The sequence below is a fragment of the Homo sapiens genome, chromosome 3, assembly GCF_000001405.40.
Source record: "Homo sapiens chromosome 3, GRCh38.p14 Primary Assembly".
Classification (NCBI taxonomy): Eukaryota; Metazoa; Chordata; class Mammalia; order Primates; family Hominidae; genus Homo; species Homo sapiens.
The window spans coordinates 138,370,662-138,389,096 of record NC_000003.12 but is presented as its reverse complement, the minus strand read 5'-3'; the positions used below and the strand labels follow the sequence as shown (position 1 = coordinate 138,389,096).

At 46.0% G+C, this 18,435-nt stretch overlaps 1 protein-coding gene across 14 annotated transcripts in view, besides 1 other annotated feature; it reads right to left on the bottom strand.

Annotated features, from left to right (window-relative positions):
• Window positions 1–18,435, bottom strand: part of MRAS (muscle RAS oncogene homolog) — a 57,888-nt gene that overhangs the window by 16,439 nt on the left and 23,014 nt on the right. For 11 of the 14 annotated variants that reach the window (NM_012219.4, XM_047447696.1, XM_047447697.1 and 8 more), the window contains one exon: window positions 16,021–16,231. The exons of the other annotated variants lie outside the window; for them this stretch is intronic. In NM_012219.4, the coding sequence (NP_036351.3) occupies window positions 16,021–16,213 (193 nt within the window). In that variant the 5' untranslated portion in view covers window positions 16,214–16,231. The remainder of the gene's footprint in view (window positions 1–16,020; window positions 16,232–18,435) is intronic. 14 annotated transcript variants of the gene reach the window in all.
• Window positions 13,324–13,524: a silencer, noted in NCBI's record as "peak4844 fragment used in MPRA reporter construct". NCBI's record gives its function as "represses an SCP1 promoter by STARR-seq MPRAs in K562 erythroleukemia cells {active_cell/tissue: K562}" and the evidence as "EXISTENCE:reporter gene assay evidence [ECO:0000049][PMID:32103011]".

Sequence of the window (18,435 nt, the reverse complement as noted above, 5' to 3'; positions counted from 1 at the left end):
AGGCCGAGGAGGGCGGATCACGAGGTCAGGAGTTTGAGACTAGCCTAGACAACACGGTAAAACCCAGTCTCTACTAAAAATACAAAAATGAGCTGGGCATGGTGGTGGGTACCTGTAATCCCAGCACCTCGGGAGGCTGAGGCAGGAGAATCGCTTGAACCTGGGAGGCAGAGGTTGCAGTGAGCCGAGACTGCGCCACTGCACTCCAGCCTGGGCAACGAGAGTGAAACTCTGTCTCAAAAAAACAAAAACAAAAACTTTTATGACACCCCTACAGGGTGAAATAAGGGTCACGGAATATCAAGCAATAGAGAAAACAATTTCTAGAGATAATATGCCTCTAAGGGCCATACCTAAAGTTTTCTTTTTTCTTTTCTTTTCTTTCTTTTTATGTTTTTGAGACAGAGTCTCACTCCGTCACCCAGGCTGGACTACAGTAGTGCAATCTCAGCTCACTGCAACCTCTGCCTGCTGGGTTCAAGTGATTCTCATGCCTCAGCCTCCCAAGTAGCTGGAATTACAGGTGCGCATCCCCACTCCTGGCTAATTTTTGTATTTTTAGTAAAGATGGGGTTTTGCCATATTAGCCAGGCTGGTCTCGAACTCCTGGCCTCAAGTGATCCGCCCGCCTTGGCCTCCCAAAGTGCAAGGATTACAGGCGTGAGCCACTGTGCCCAGCCCCATGCCTAGAATGTTTTATGTATCTCTAATTCACAAACCCGTCATGGGAGGCAGGAATGATTATGCCCATTTTACAGAAGAATAAGGTAAGGAAGCTTAAGAATAGATTCAAAAAAATAATGTCACTTAGTTGAACACACATAGTGATGAGGGGTGTTTACTATTTTAATTTGCGCTCCCCTTTCTGGGTAATGGGTGTCTATGGAGTGGGGTTGGGTGCTGGGCAAAAGGGCTGATGCATTCACCGTGCACTGTTCCTAGAAAAAGGGCTGATTTCTTGAACTTCTCCAAAATGCTGGCAGGGTGCAGACAGCCAGGACACCTGGGACTCCCCAAGGGGAAGGGGGCTAAAGTCCTGTAGTGGGCACCAACTGGCTCCCTGGTGACAGGGAAGAGTCCCTTTGCCAGTGGCCCCAACCTCCTCAACACCCTGGCTTAAGGAAAACATCAGGGGAGAAGTGCCGGCCATCAGCTTTGGGGGTCGCTCATGCTGGAGGCTACACCCTGCAGCTGTGGGGAATGGAGTGAGGGGGTCTTGGGATAAGTTTTCACAAGGCCCGTGATCCCCAGAACTGGTATACAAACTGCATATGTCGGTGCACATTCTGGGGATATGGTCTATGGTTCTGTGGGATTCTTAGAGGAACCTAGAACCCTCAATGCTGCTCTTAGGGAAGGAAGAGAAGAAAGGAGAAAGGACAGCAGGGATCTCAGCTGTGTAACTAGAGCCCAGGAATATCACACCAACAGACGGGGGCCTGGCAGCGCAGAGAAACAGGGAGACAACTGGGAGCGCTGGCCTATAATCCCACTTCCACCTTGCAACCCCTCTGGGAGGCCAGCATTTGACAGGTGAAGAGACAGAGGCAGGGCAAGGCTAGTGATCTGCTTAGGTTCATATGGCTAATGAGCAGTAGAGGCAGGATTTGAACCCATGCCCGTCTGATTCCAAGCCTTGCTCTGCTCCTCACACCAGCCTGTCTTTGAGCAGGAGTCGGCAGTGGCATCCCCACAGCCTGTGAACAAGAGCAGGTCTAAAAGGAGGGGTGAGGACAGAGATGGAGGACAGAAGCCTGGAGGCTGCTTCCTGCATTCACCCCACTTGCTTACACCAAACTCTCCACCTACTCCGCACCTGCGCCTGGGCAGCCATGGGTGGCAGGGAAGAGAAAACTCATGAGTGCACTGGCTTCTCCCCCTTTAAAGGCCTGAGCATCAACTTCCAGGGCCTTCAGAGTGCCCACCATCCTTCTCCATCATTCTCCCACTCCCTTGGTGACCACCACCCACCTGACCTCTTTTGCCAAGCTTGCACTCTCAGCTCAGGAATTGAAACAGGGATCTACCAGGAGATAAATTCCACATGCTTGCACCCCACATCAACCCATCTGAGAGGCATGGGACCCCTCACACACTGCTGGTACAGTTTGATAATTCCTCAAAATGTTAAACATGGAGTTACCAAATGACCCAGCAATTCTACTTCTAGGTATATACCCAAGAGAACTGAAAGCAAGTTTTCACATGAAAATTTGCACATGAACATTCACAGCAATATTACTCACAATGGCCAAAAGTAGAAACAACCCAAATGTCCATTGACTGGTGAAAGAATAAACAAAATGTAGTATATGGCCGAACGCGGTGGCTCACGCCTGTAATCCCAGCACTTTGGGAGGCCGAGGCGGGCAGATCACCTGAAGTCAGGAGTTTGAGACCAGCCTGGCCAACTGGTGAAACCCCCTCGCTACTAAAAATACAAAAATTAGCTGGGTGTGGTGGCGCACACCTGTAATCCCAGATACTCGGGAGGCTGAGGCAGGGGAATTGTTTGAATCCAGGAGGCAGAGGTTGCAGTGAGCCAAGGTCACGCCACTGCACTCCAGTCAGGGCAACAAGAGTGAAACTCCATCTCAAAAACAAAAAACAAAATGTAGTATATCCGTACACTAGAATATCATAAAAAAGAATGGAATTCTGATACACACTGCAGCAGCACGAACCTGTAAAACACTGTGCTAAGTGAAAGAAGCCAGGCACAAGAGACCATGTGCCGTCCCATTCTGCTTCCATGAAATGTCTGGAGTAGGCAAATCCATAAAGGCAGGAAGTGGATTAATGGTTTCAGGGACTGAGGAGGGGGGAGAATGGAGAGTGAGTGCTCATGGGTAAGGGGGGTTTTGAGCAGGGTTGGGGATGAATACGTTCAGGAATGAGTTGGCAGTGATTACAGTAATTACTGATTTGTTAATCAGCAATACGTGGTTGTACAACTCTGTGAATACACTAAAAACCACTGAACTGTGCGTGTGAATTCTGCATGTGAATTTTATCTCAATAAAAAAAGTTATATGAGGAAAAAAATCAACCCACCTCCCTCCCTGTAAAACACATGTTCCACCTGCCCTCTCGCTAGGGTGGATGACCCAGCTCTGCTCCTAAGACCATCCTCTCCAGCTAAGCACTGGCTCCAGGTCCCTGCCACCTGTTCGAGGACACTGCTAAAACTGTTGTTCCTTCATCATCCTATTCTCTATTGGTTTATTTCCACCAGCAGGTAAATGTGCTGTAATTTCTCTCATCTTAAAACAAAAATACATTGGCCTGGAACAGTGGCTCACACCTGTAACCCCAGCACTTTGGGAGGCCAAGGCAGGTGGATTACCTGAGGTCAGGAGTTCGAGACCAGCCTGGCAACATGATGAAACCCCATCTCTACCAAAAATACAAAAATTAGCTGTGTGTGGTGGCGGGCGCCTGCAGTCCCAGCTACTCAGGAGGCTGAGGCAGGAGAATCGCTTGAACCTGGGAAGCAGAGGTTGCAGTGAGCCAAGGTTGTGCCACTGCACTCCAGCCTGGGTGACAGAGTGAGACTCTGTCTCAAAAAATAATAAATAAATAAATAAATAAATATATATATTTTAAAACTCAAAAATACAATAAAATGAAACAAAAAAATTTACAAATAAAGCTGGGTACAGTGGTTCATTCCTGTAATCCCAATACTTTGGGAGGCTGAGCTGGGAGGATCACTTGAGCCCTGGAGTTTGAGACCAGTCTGGGCAACAAAGTGAGAACCCCGTCTCTACAAAAAATACAAAAATTTGCCAGGCCTGTGGTCCCAGCTACTGAGGAGACTGAGGTGGGAGGACTGCGGGAGGTCAAGGCTGCAGTGAGTCATGATCATGCCACTGAACTCCAGCCTGGGTGACAAAGCAAGACCCTGTCTTTAAAAAAAAAAAAAAAAAAAAAAAAAAAATTACAAATCAAAACCCCGCCCCTTGGCCTCACCTCTCCCTCCCACTACTGTTCATTTCTCTCTTCCTCCTTTCAGAAACGCTTCTTGCCTATCCTCGCTGCCTGCTCCTCCTCTCCACCACTTTCTTGAACCCACTCTAATTAGACTTTCATCTCCAACCACTCCATCAAAACTGATCTTGTCAAGTCACCAATGACCTCCATGTCACTAAATCCAATGGGTGCTTCTCAGTTCCTCATCCTGCTGGGCTCCTGGCCGGTCTCTCATGCAGCTTAGCTGATGGTCCCTGCCTTTGTGAAGCACCTTCTTCACTTGGCTGCAGGATGCCACTCTCCCTTGGTCTTTATCCTACTACAGTGACTGGTCCTGCCCTGTCTCCTCTTCTCCCCAGCCTCTAAACATTGGTGGGTCCTTCTCTAACCGCAGTCACATTCTTGGTGATCTCTCATCCTGCAGCTTTACAGGTCACCACCCAGATTTCTATCCAGCCCACAGGTCTCCCCTCCTACAGGCTTAGATATCCAGCTGCCACCCTGACTTCTACTTGTATGTGTGAAAGGCATCCTGGATTTAACACGTCCAAAATTAGACTCTTGATTTCCCCTCAAAACTTGTTTTTCACTGTTCTTCCTAATCTTGATAAATGTAACTCTATGCTACTGGTTCTTCAGGCCAAAGACTCTTCCCTCTCTAATAACCTCAAATACTCCATCGACAAATCCTGTCGTTTCCTCCTTCAAAACACAACCAGAATCTACCCTTCTCACCACCTCCTCCACCAATGCCCAAGCCCATCATCAGGAGCTTCTTAACTGGTCTTTCCGATTCTGCCATGGTTCCTCTGTGTTCCGTTCACACCAGAGCCAGAGTGAGCTCTTCTCACTCGCCAGGCCAGGAGCGCAGCAGGATAAGGAACTGAGAAGTATCCACGTTTTAAACATGTTAGATCATGTCCTTCCTCTGCTCAAAATCCTCCAATGGCTTCTCATTTACCTACAAAACCCTGTGAGATCAATCCCTTCCAGCTACCTGCCTGACCTCTCTCCTACTAGCTGTGCTCTCACTTGTTCCACACGCTGGCTTCCTAGCTATTCCCCACACAGGCCAGGCACACCCCTGCCTCGGGGCCCTTGCACCTGATACTCCCACTGACTGAGATTCTCTTCCAGATACAGGTGCAGCTTTCTCTTTTAGGTATCTGCTCCAACATTCCCTTATCAGGAAAGCCCTCCTTGACCAGCCAACACAAGACCGTAACCACTTCCCCACTGTGACTCCCTTACCTTGTCTGACCTTCATCACAGCACTTATCACCACCTGACACCATACATATTTGTTTATGCTCTGTCCCCTCACCCCACTAAAATATAAGCTTCATGAGAGCAGGGGCTTTGATTTGCCAATTGCTATGTCCTCAGAGCCCAAAAGAGAGATGGGTACATTAGCAATTATTTGCAGAAGGAATTAGTGAACATATCCAGGTACATAGGACTCAGGGTTCAATTCACACAACTCTGGGCGGAGAGGTATATCCCTAAGTCAGGGGCTCAAGCCTCACTCCTGAACCTCCCTAGACACAGGGACATGTGTCAGTGGCCCCTCATCCATACAGGTGATGGGACCTATTCTTGAAACCATCAAGCCACCTCATAAATAATATAAACCAGACACAGTGGCTCACATCTGTAATCCTAGTGCTTTAGGAGGCCAAGGTGGGCGGATCACTTAAACCCAGGAGTTCAAGGCTGCAGTAAGCTATGATCATGCCACTGCACTCTAGCCTGGGTGGCACGGTGAGACCCTGTGTCTAAAAATAACAATAAAAACAACAATAATATATATCACATTAAAGCAATCACTGCAACAATAGCATCTACTGAGGTCTGCTATGTGCCAAGCCCTTGCAAGGTGACTTGTTTCCCCCCTCACTCAATAAACAATAATTAAACACCTAATAGATGCCAAGTCTGGGCTGACATCAGAGATACAATGGTGGGCACAGTCCTTTTCCTCAAGGAACTCACAATTTGTATTTTTTTCATTTATCCTTTGCAACAACTATGAGGTGTATCTCATTTGGATACAGATCCCACTGATGAGGGTGCAAGGTCTTTGTCCAGAGGCAGCCCAAAGGGAGGAGGAGCCCCAGTCACCGGAGCCAGGGTGTGGGGAGCACAGGCTGATAGAGGCAACACTGAGGCCCAGGGAAGGTGGCATCACCCAACACAATGGCAGACAGGGGAGGTCTCAGATCTATTGGTCAGGCTGGTGTGCTTGGCCCAAACTGGTCACATGACTTCTAACAGGGACCAACATGAAGTTCTGAAACTCAGGCAAAACCCCACATTAACTGGCATATATGACCTGATTGTCAGCAAGGAAAGTGGAAAAACACTTGGATTTTGGGATGCTGACAAATCTGGAACGAGCCCAGGCTGTGCTAAGAGTTGGGTGTAGGGAGTTGCATATTCCACTCACACCTTCATCACTGAGTCCAAGCCTCACTGAGCTGACTCTAGGTCAGTGGCTGGAGAGGGGTCCTTCAGCTCCCAGCCTGGCTAGTGGGTCTGGGAAGGGCCCCTCGGGTGCAGGGCAGCAGCAGCAGCAATTTTCCAGTGGTAGAGAGTACTTCACTATTTTACCAACTAGTACAGCAGTACTGAGGTACACTGGCTGCAGAGCAGCTGCGCTCACCTGGAAAGTGATTTACTCTCACTTGACTAATCTCAATTTCACAGAATTGTCACAAGGATGAAATAAGGCATCCTTGTAAAAGCCCTTAGCATGAGGCCTTCAAGAAAAGTCTGGTTGGTAGTAACTGCTACCACCGCTCTGAGGACAGACAGCAAGAGAGGATTTGGGAAGAGATGTGTCAGCAATGTGAGGAAGGGCTTTCTACCAGAGAGCACTGCCCTGGGCACCATGGAGATCAGTGAGGCATTTCAGCAGCATGGCTGATGCAGCAGGGACAAAGGGTCAGGCCCAGGCCTGCAGGGCTGGATTGCATAATCTCAGGCCAGCAGCCATGCTTCCCTATGAAGGGAAAGAGGGAAATTCCTCCCACATCACTGCTGGCAGGGGAAGGGCAGCTTCCCCTTGGTGGGTGACAGGCCAGCTCTGCCTGCACCCCATTCTTAGTTGGGGCCTATGGAGAGTGCCCACTCTGAAGCTGGCCTAAGGCCTGCTGAGCATAAAGCCCCCTGGTAAAGCCCCTGGTTCAGGAAAAAAAAACTCAGTAAACGTTCCTTTTCCTCTCCCTGCCCTTCAAATGTCCTCCTCTCCTCCTCGTCCCCAGAAAGAATGTGGATTCAAGTGTGTGGGGGAAAAGCCAGGTTCAGGCCCCTCTGAGAAGACAACAGCACTTGTGTCTGAGGTTTGGGCAGAAGCCAGGGTGGAAATGTCCCAGCTTCTGATGGTGCAGGAGAAGAGCCAGGCTTTTGCTCTTTGAAAACACTGGGCACTTGCTGGGGAGTCGGAGACAGAGAGGTTGCGGAGCTGGGCCCAAGAACCCCAAGGTAGGAAGCAGTGTCTGGAGACTCAGGGCCCACTGCTGTTCTCCACCGATGGAAGAAAGATGCAAAGTTCCAGAGGCTGGCTGGGCAGAGGGCGGGGCTGGGAGCCAGAGGGTGGGGAGGCCCAGAGACATCTGCCCTGTTGTAAGTGAGGAGAGGATTTGGTCAGCATCCCACCTTAAAGGCCCAAGGCCTGGGCCAAAGCAGGAGGTAGTGGGACAGGGTGGAGGACACGCTCGGCAGAGTCAAGAAGCCCAAAACCTGGCTCTCCAGCTAGCTAGGTCTCACCCTAGACTAGTGACCTCTCCATCTGTACCTCAGTTTCCACAATTGTAAAGTGAGGGGCTTAGCAGCCTTCCATCCCTAACCAACAGAAAAAATAGGCACACAAGAACTCTAAGACGAAAGAAGGAAAGCAGGGACTCAGATATTTATATACCATGCTCATAGCAGCGTTATTCATAACAGCAAAAAGGTGGAAACCACCCAAGTGTCCATCCACAGATGAACAGATAATGAAAACATGGTACATCCATACAGTGGAATATCATTCAGCTTTAAAACGGAGAGAAGGCCGGGCGTGGCGGCTCATGCCTGTAAACCCAACACTTTGGGAGGCCGAGGCGGGTGGATCACGAGGTCAAGAGATTGAGACCATGCTGGCCAGCATGGTGAAAATGCTACCAGTCTCTACTAAAAATACAAAAATTAGCTGGGTGTGGTGGCACGTGCCTATAGTCCCAGCTACTCGGAAGACTGAGGCAGGAGAATCACTTGAACCCGGGAGGCGGAGGCTGCAGTGAGCCGAGATCACACCACTGCACTCCAGCCTGGCGACAGAGCGAGACACCGTCTCAAAAAAAAAAGAAAAAAAAAGGAAAGAAATTCAGAACATGCAGCAACATGGATGAACCTTGAATAGATTGTACTAATTAAAATAAGCCAGCCACATAAAAGGACAAATATTATTCCACTTATCATAGCACTCAAATGAGGTATCTAGATTAGTTAAATACATAGAGACAGAAAGTAGAAGCCGGGCGCGGTGGCTCACGCCTATAATCCCAGCACTTTAGGAGGCCGAGGTGGGTGGATCACCTGAGGCCAGGAGTTCGAGATCAGCCTGGCCAACACGGAAACCCCATCCCTACTAAAAATACAAAAATTAGCCAGGCGTGGTGGTGCACGCCTGTAATCCCAGCTCCTCAGGAGGGTGAGGCAGGATAATCACTTGAACTCAGAAAGCGGAGGTTGCAGTGAACCGAGATCGCACCACTGCATTCCGGCCTGGGTGACAGAGTGAGACCTCATTTCAGAAAAAAAAAAGAAAGTAGAATGGTGGTTGCCAAGGACTGAGGAGAGGGGAAAATGGGGACTTAGTGTTTAAGGGGCAAGGGATTAATAACCTGAATATATAAGAAACTCAAACAACTCATTAGCAAAATAAAATAAAATTCTGATTTAAAGGGCAAAAGACCTGAATAGGCATTTCTCAGAGACAAACAAATGGATAGCAGGTATATGAAAAAATTATCAACATCGCTAATCATCAGAGAAATGCAAATCAAAACTACAATGAAATGCAAATCAAAACTACAATGAGATAACATCTCACCCCAGTTACAATGGCTATTATCAAAAAGACAAAAAATAACAAATGCTAGGGAAGATGTGGAGAAAAGAGAATGTTTGGATACTGCTGGTGGGAATATAAACTAGTATAGCCACTATGGAAAATGGTATGGAGATCCCTCAAAAAACTAAAAATAGAGCTACCATATGGTCCAGCAATCCTACTGCTGAGTATACACTCAAAGGAAAGGAAATCAGTATATTGAAGTGATACCTGCACTCCCATGTTTATCATAGCGCTAGTCACAATAGCCAAGAGTAAGGAAGCAACCTAAGTGCCTTTCAATGAATGAATGATAAAGAAAATGTAGCATATATACACAATAGAATATTATTCATCCATAACAAAGAATGAGGCTGGGCGCAGTGGCTCATGCCTGTAATGCCAGCACTTTGGGAGGCCGAGGTGGGCAGATCACCTGAGGTCAGGAGTTCGAGACCAACCTAGCCAAGATGGTGAAACCCCATCTCTACTAAAAATACAAAAATTAGCCGAGCGTGTTGGCAGGTGCCTGTAATTTCAGCTACTTGGGAGGCTTAGGCAGGAGAATTGCTTGAACCCGGGAGGGGGAGGTTGCAGTGATCGTGCCACTGAACTCTAGTCTGCCCAACAAGTGTGAGACTCCGTCTCAAAAAAAAAAAAAAAAAAAAAAAAGACATTCTGTCATTTGCAGCAACATGGATGGAACTGGAGGTCATTATGTTAAGTGAAACAAGCCAGGCACAGAAAGACAAATATTGCATGCTCTCACTGATATGTGGGAGCTAAAACAGTGGATTTCATGGAGGTAGAGAGTGGAATGATTGACATCAAAGGCTGGGAAGGGTGTGTGGGTGGGGGGATGAAGAGAAGTTGGTTAATGGGTACAGAAATACAAAGAGAAGGAATAAGTTCTAGTATTTGATAGCACAGTAGGGAAATTATAGTTAACAATAATTCATTGCAAATTTCAAAATAGCTAGAAGAGAAGAATTGTAATGTTCCCAATACAAAGAAAGAATGTTTGAGGTGATGGATATGCTAATTACCTGGATTTGATCATTACCATGCCCTCAAAATATGTATGAATATGATATCAATAAAAGAAAAGGGAGCAAGCAGAATAGTGGTTGCCAGGGACTGAGGAGAGGGGAGAATGGGGAGTCAGTGTTTAATAGGTACAGAGTTTCAGTTGAGGAAGGTGAAAAGGTTCTGGAGATGAATGGCAGGGATGGTTGTAGAACAAAGTGAATGCACTATGCACTTAGAGATGGTTAAGATGGTAACTTTTATGTTATGTACACTTTATCACAATAAAACAAACAAACACAAAACTCTATGGCTCTGCCGAAGGTTTGGGGCTTCCTGATTCATGACAAGAGAGAATTGGGGTGAGGGCAGTCACACAGCTGAAAGCCAAGGTGAGGTGGTGTTCCAAAGTCAGAGACAGGAGGAGAGGGCTGAGAGCATGGAGATGGGACAGCCGAAGCAAACCCCACAGTGGAGAAGCAGGGACCAGACGGGGAGGAAGAGAGGCTCCGAGGGTTGGGCCCTTGACAATATAAAGTGAGATGAGGATCCCGAACCCTTGCAGGAAAGAACTCAGAGCAGGCTTGCTCCAAAGCCTGGGGGTCCCACAGCCACAGGAGAGCCTGGCTGCTGGCCCCTGAGGCCAGCCAGCTCTTGTCTCTTAGGTTCTGGGAGGACACAGGCAATGTGACTTCCTGGAAGAAAACAAGAAACAGGTTTGCAAGAAAGCAGGCAGCCTGTGAGAATAATCAGTGTGGAAGTCACAGAGAAGGCTTCCTTAAGCAGCTTGCAAATCTCTGACGTGAGACTGAGATCACAACCGGAGCACCTGGTTCTCTGAAGGACCCTGGGTGAGGAGTAAGAAGGGCAGAAGAGGTATGATAGTTCAGCCACACCCACTTCTTCCTGGGACTTCAGCTCCCCTTCCCAGAGGCACAAGGATCCACTGTGCTGTGGGGGAGGATTTTCCTACACAACCAGACTGACAGTGGGTAGGAGTCAACAGGTAGCTCAAACTGTTGCTGGTTGTGTGAAACTTTTGCTGTATTTTCTTCAACTATAAAACAGAAATAACAACAGCAACTACCACGATAGCATTTGTAAGGATTCAAAGACAGCAAATGCAATGTGCTTAGCACGGGCCTTCCACACAGTTTCTGCCCATTCAATACCCCGTCATCAAAATTATCATTCTCTTCCTTCTCCTCATCATCGTGCTGCCACGTTTTTATTCTTTCTGAGTTTGGAAGAAGAGAAACTGCAGAGTTGAGATCCCCTGGAGTTCAGTGGGGTACAGGGCAACTGAGGGCACCTCCAGGCTTAGCACCTCCCCGAAGATGGCATGGCCTCAGGGGAGCAGGACCCCTGGGATCCAGATGCCCAGGGAAGTCCTGGCCATCTGAGGGGTGCAGACCACTCCAGAAAAGTTCAGCCCCAGAAAGGTTCAGAGTTACTCACTGCAACCTCCGCCTCCTGGGTTCAGGCAATTCTCCTGCCTCAGGCTCCCGAGTAGCTGAGATGACAGGCGCCACCAGGCCTGGCTAATTTTTTTTGTATTTTTAGTAGAAGCGGGGTTTCACTATGTTGGTCAGGCTGGTCTCAAACTCCTGACCTCGTGATCCACCCACCTCGGCCTCACAAAGTGGTGGGATTACAGGCGTGAGCCACCGCACCCGGCCAAGTCTTCCTTTTCTTAATAGCAGATCTAATGGAGTGGAGAAGCATCTAATCTGGGAATCTGGTGTCTATTCCCGAGGAAGGCCTGGGTGGGCAATGCCCTAAATCGGGCCTGACTCTGGTGGCAGAATTAGAAGCTTAACAAACTCATTCTTCTAAAGTAATGCCATGGAGAGCCCAGGCATTCAGAACACAGGCTTTGCAAATGCACACTTCTAATATAATGCTGCGGCCATGTTTCCCCTCTCCCTGCTGCTCCTGCTATAAATGTTGAGGAAAACATTCAATCTTGAGGAAAACATTTTTCCTCAGAAACCAATTTAACATCCAAAGGTACTCAGGAAAAAGTCAGAGAAGTTTATATGGCTGTAGAGAGAAATACTGATTGAGTTCCAACGATGTACCAGGCATGGTGTTACTTTCTTACATGCATTATGCAATGTGTTTCAGAATGTTCTCTATGGAACATAGTTCAGAATCACGTGCAAAAAATGACCCCTGTGGGAAGCTCTAAGGACAATGTATCCTATCACTACACCTCTAATATGTGTTTGCATGTTAAAAGTTCTTGTAAGTCCTGCAGTGAAGAAACTTGTTTACATTTATTTAACTCAGTATATCCCAAAGTGTGCCATATATTCCAATAGGTGATGCATGAAATGATTTTAGAAAGTGCACAGATGTAAGTTTTAATTTTAATAGTTATATATACTTATTATTGTAATGTGAGTTAGAAAAAAATAATATAGCTAGCACATCAAACCTTTCACTACACATATATTGTTCAAGGTTTATTCTTTCATTTGGTCATTCCACAAATGTTTACTGGGGAGCTACTATGAGCCAAGCAGTATTCTAGATGCTAGGAATAATGCAGTCAGTAAATAAAGTCCCTGCTCTCAGACATTTATATTTTAGTCAGCAGAGACAAAAACACAAACAAAGATAAAATATGTCCAACCATAAAAGGCAGAATAAAGAAGAACAGAGTTGGGCATAGAAATGACTGGGGTGGGGTGGATACTAGTGTCAATGGTTTGGTCAGGGAAGACCTCTTAGATAAAGTGACATTTGAGCTGAGACCTAAATGAAATCAGTGTTTCTGCAGGAACAATGTTCTAGGCAGAGAGAAGACAAAATGCAAAGTCCCAAGATGGGAAGGTGCTTGGTACCTGTTCAAATTGTTCAAAGTCCCAGGGCTGCAGACAAACCCTTGGAGGACGGTGCTTTTTAAAATTGAGATACAATCTACATGCCATAATATTAATACTTTAAAAGTATATAATTCAGTGCTTTTAAAACATATTTACAAAGTTTTTTTGTTTTGTTTTGTTTTTTTGAGAGGGAGTCTCACTCTGTTGCCCAGGCTGGAGTGAGGTGGCGCAGTCTCGGCTCACTGCAATCTTTGCCTCCTGAGCTCAAGTGATTCTCCCACCTCAGCCACCCGAGGCTAATTTTTATATTTTTAGTTGAGATGGGGTTTCACCACGTTGCCCAGGCAAGTCTCAAACTCCTGAGCTCAAGCAATCTGCCCACCTCAGCCTCCCAAAGTGTTGGGATTTACAGGCCTTGTAAGCCACAGCGCCCAGCCACAAAGTTGTATTTTTTTGAAGTCATGATTTGGTTCTGCTTCTGGCCAAGATGGAGTGACAGGGACCAGATTTACGTTCTCAGCTGAAACAACCAACAGACAGACAAAATATGTGGGAGGACTGCTTCAGCCCAGAAGGTCTAGGCTGTGGTGAGCCTTGATCATGCCACTGCACTCCAGCCTGGGTAACAGAGCGAGACCCTGTCTCAAAACAAAAACAAAAACATCTTCCCACAAAGAAAACTCCAGGGCCAGATGGCCTTGTTTGTGAATTCTACTAAACAGTTAGGGAAGAAATACCAATTTAACTCAAACTCTTCCAGAAAATTGAATAAAACTCGTTCTATGAGGCCAACATTACTCTGATACCAAAATTAGACACAGACATTACAAGAAAACTATAGACCAATATTTCACAAGAACACAGACATAAGAATTGTAAACAAAAGTTTAGCAAATCAAAGCCAACAATATTAAAGGATAATACATCATGACCAAGTGGGGTTTATTCCAGGGATGCAATTTTGGTTTAATATTAAAAAAATCAAGGACCAGGGATGGTGGCTCACACCTGTAATCCCAGCACTTTGGGAGGCTGAAATGGAAGGATTGCTTGAAGCCAAGAGTTCAAGACCAGCCTGGGCGACAATGGGAGATTCCCCCCAATCTTCACAAAAAAATAAAATATTAGCCGGGCACAGTGGTGTGTGCCTACAGTCCTAGCTACTGGGGAAGCTGAGGCAAGAAGATCTCTTGAGCCCAGTATTTTGTGGTTGCAGTGAGCTAAGATCATGCCACTGTGCTCCAGCCTGGGTGACAGTGCAAGACTCTGTCACAAAAACAAAACAAAACAATCAATGTAATTTACCACATTAACAAACTAAAAAAGGAAAACCATTTGGTTATCTCAGTAGACACAGAAAAAGCACTGGACAAAATCCAACATCCATGCCTGATAAAAACTCTCAGCAAACTAGAAATAGAAAGGAACTTCCATGACCTGATAAAGGCCATCCATAAAAGGCCTGCAACTAACATCATACTTAATGCTAAAGACCAAACACTTACCCCTTAAGATCAAGAACAAGACAAGGATGTCTGTTCTTGTTACTTCTTTTCAACAGGATGCCAGAGATTTTAATCAATGAGATAAGGCAAGAAAAAGAAATAAGAGCCATCCAGATTGGAAAAGAAGAAGTAAAACTGTCTTTACTTGCAGTCACTATGGTCTATTCAGAAAAATCCAGCAGAATCTACAAAAAAGATACTAGAACTAGTAACTGAGTTTAGCAAAGTTGTAGGTTACAAGATTAATATACAGAAACCTATTGTTTTTATATATACTAGCAACAAACAACTGAAAATTGAAATAAAAAACCAAAAATAATAATTTACGGTAGCATCAATACAGATACAGGTATAAAACTGACAAAACATGTAAAAGACCTATGCACTGAAAACTACAAATAAGCCAGGCGTGGTGGTTCATGCCTGTAATCCCAGCAGTTTGAGAGGCTGAGGCTGAGGCAGGCGGATCACGAGGTCCGGAGATCGAGACCATCCTGGCCAACATGGTGAAACCCCGTCTCTACTAAAAATACAAAAAAAATTTAGCTAGGTGTGGTGGTGCGTGCCTGTAATCCCAGCTACTTGGGAGGCTGAGGCAAGAGATTTGCTTGAACCCGAGAGGCGGAGGTTGCGGTGAGCTGAGACTGCACCACTGCACTCCACCAACCTGGTGACAGAGCGAGACTCCGTCCCCCCAAAAACAAACAAACAAACAAAAAAACCTACAAATAAAACTGACAAGAGAAAGAAGACCCAAATAAACAAATAAATAAATAAATAAATAAATAAATGGAAAGAGATACTGTGTTCATGGGTTGGAAGCCTCAACATTGTTAAAATATCAACTCTCCTCAAACAGATCTACAGTTTCAACACAATCCCAATCAAAATCTAGAATTTTAGAATTTAACTGATGCTAAAACTCACATAGAAATACCTTAGGACCTAGACCAGTCAAAACAACTTTGAAAAATAACGAAGTTGAAGATTTAATACTCCCTGATTTCAAGCATCTCCTCGAGGGTGTGTTAAAACACAGGGTGTTGGGCCCACCCTCAGAATTTCCAAATCAGTATGGGCCTGAGGATGTGCATTTCTAATTAGTTTCCTGATGCTGCGGCTACTGCTGGCCTGGCTGCCACACTTAGAACTAGTAATCCAGACTAATTCACACTCAGCTAGAAACACAATGTCAGATGCAAGAGATTCCCCTCAAAGGACAAGTACCAAGTAAACTATGCTCATTAAGAAACAACTTGCTTTTCCCTTTTTTATTAGCTAAAGACATCCATAACTGTTAATCAGAGATTCTGATCAGCAAGAAAAAACACACATGACATCACTGAGTTGGCATGATTCTAGCCTCCCCTCTTTGCTGAATGCACATTTTGGTTTCCACGAAATCTTGCAAGCCCTCTACGCAGGCCTTCCCTGTTGAGAATTCACCCTGAAAACGACACACGGCTTTATATCAACCATCCCATAACAGCAACATTAAGGAAACCATCTTGCCCCACTGAAACCTGTCAAATTTCCCTGATCCTCCCCATCTACTATCCCACCCAATGCAGGGCTGCCACCCAGGTCTCACCGTCCAAGATGGCCCATTGATTGTCAATCTCCGTATGTTTCAGGTAGGAGTCTTCAATGGTGGGGTCATAGTCAGGCACAAAGATCTTCTGGAAAAACTGGATGGTGAGGGCACTTTTGCCCACACCCCCATCCCCCACCACCACCAGCTTGTATGTGGGGAGGTTGTCACTGGGGACGGCGCTGGTTGCCATGTTTCTCGTAGGTCAGACCTGCGGCAGCAAGACATGTGGAATGAGACAGAGGGCTTTTTTAACTTAGGGGAAAATATTCATATGTTTTCCTCCTTTATAAAGTAATACTCTCAATTATAAAGAGGTTTGAAAATGAAGAAATGCAAAAGAAAATAAAAGCATTACCCCTGGTCTCACTAGCCAGAGACAGTCCACTGTTAAAGTGATTTATTCAACCATCATTTATTCAACACCAATTATGTGCCAGGCCTGGTGTTGAGGACACAGTACCACTGGTCTTGTTTAGCAAGTATAGCCAAAAGCCATGTCAAATAAGCTTTTTGGCCACTAAACTCTACTTGTACAGGTTAACACGAGGGCAGTGGTCTGAGCAGGGCTGGCATGGAGGTTCATCTTTCACATCCCCTCTTATTAACTGGGCTGCTATGCTGAGAAGGATTTGAAGCTGTGTCTAAGCTTAGAAAGGGGGCCATGATAGCTTAGCACACCTGAGCTCTGGGACTCTGAGGCCCCTTCCAAGTTTCAGAATTCTATGATTGTGGCTCCTTTCTCTCTGCTTCTTGCCCTGTATTATACACAAAGTCATGCGGGAATCATTTTATTTGGGGAGGAGGGGGTAGGAGCAGGTCGAAGTTTTGTTTTGATGCTGCTGAGGCCAGCTAAGGCAGTGGTTCTCAGTCAGGGGAATTTTGCTCCCCAGGGATATTTGCAATGTCTAGAGATATTTTTTTTTGTTGTCAAAATGGAGTGGGTACCACTGGCATCTGTTCAGCACAGACCAGGGATTGTACAATGCGCAGGGCAGTCCCCCCCAGTGAAGAATTATCCATCCTAAAATGTCAATAGTGCTGAGGTTGAGAAACCCTGAGCTAAGGTGACCAGGAGGCAGCTGGAAGTGGGACCAGGATTCTAAAGAATAATTGGGCCTTAACAGAAGTGAAGAGTGACCTTTGTAAACAGTGTCACAAAGTGACAAGGAGGAGAGGCAGGAGGGAGCCTCCTGGAGGCACTCAGAAGAAAAGGAGGGAAACCAGGATCTGTGGTCATGATGGAAGCCAAGAGTTTCCAGAAGGAGGCTGACAGCACCAAATGTTAAACACAGGTGCAGCTAGGGGGATCCCCTAAAGAACAATTTGGAGGTTGTAGCCAGGAACCTAAACTGCTAACTAACTGTGGACCCTGCCAGGAAGAAGCAATACCACCTCCTGGTAGGGCATTCCTGGGTAGCACAAAAATCGAGGGAGGGAAAGCTTAATCCTACGGCTGTGTAGAAGAAAAGAAAGAATCCCTGTGCAAATTGGGATGGGAAAAGCATGGTGTACGTGTGACTGGGAAACCGATGGTCTCACAGAGAGGAGGGTGGCAGTGTGGCAGGGAGGACAAAGAACTGGGTGCCCTGTGTGCTCCGCCGCTACTTGGGAAGGCCACTGATCTCTCTGAGCCATAGTTTCCTTATCTATGAGTTTAAAGGGCTGGATTAGATTACTTTTATAATTAGTTTCAGCTCTAAAATAGTCTTCAGTTCTAGATTTTGACAGAAAGGGGGCTGGACACAAATGTGGGTTATGTGGCCACACTGATTTGCATGGGGCTACAGTCGAGAGTCATTGCAGAACCCTTTGTAGTTACTGAAGCCTGATGTTGACATTTAGGACTTCCCCAAAGTGTCGGAGAAGTACAAGCTTTGCTACACTGCAGAGAAAGTGCAAATCTGCCTAGGCTATACTGAAAATACACTTGCGTAAATATATTCATACCCTCTCCTGCAGCTCTACCCCATGTGAGAATTTATTCTAAGGAGATAATCAGAGAAGTGAAGAAAGATGTTAAGAATGGGGGAAAATAGAAATAACTTAATGTTGGGGGGAAAAGTTAAAGTTTATCCATATAATGGAGTACTATGCAGTCATTTAAAAGGAAGATATTCACTAACCTAGAAAAAGTGTGTTGTTATGTATGAAAAAAAGACAGGCTGCAAAACAGCTAGTAAGTACACCTGATCCTAATGCCAGGTGTGGATCCAGGCATTAAGAACTTTAGCAGATGGTTGTCTCTAAGGCAGATTTCAGGGCATTTTCATTTTCTTAATGTTTCAATTTTCTACAACAAGCATGCATTATATTTGTGTACTGGAAAAGTTTAACACTATTAAAATGCTCCCAGGAAAATAAAATGTTCAAGCCACCTGAAAATGTTTGATTTCCTCTCATTCGAGTGGGGAT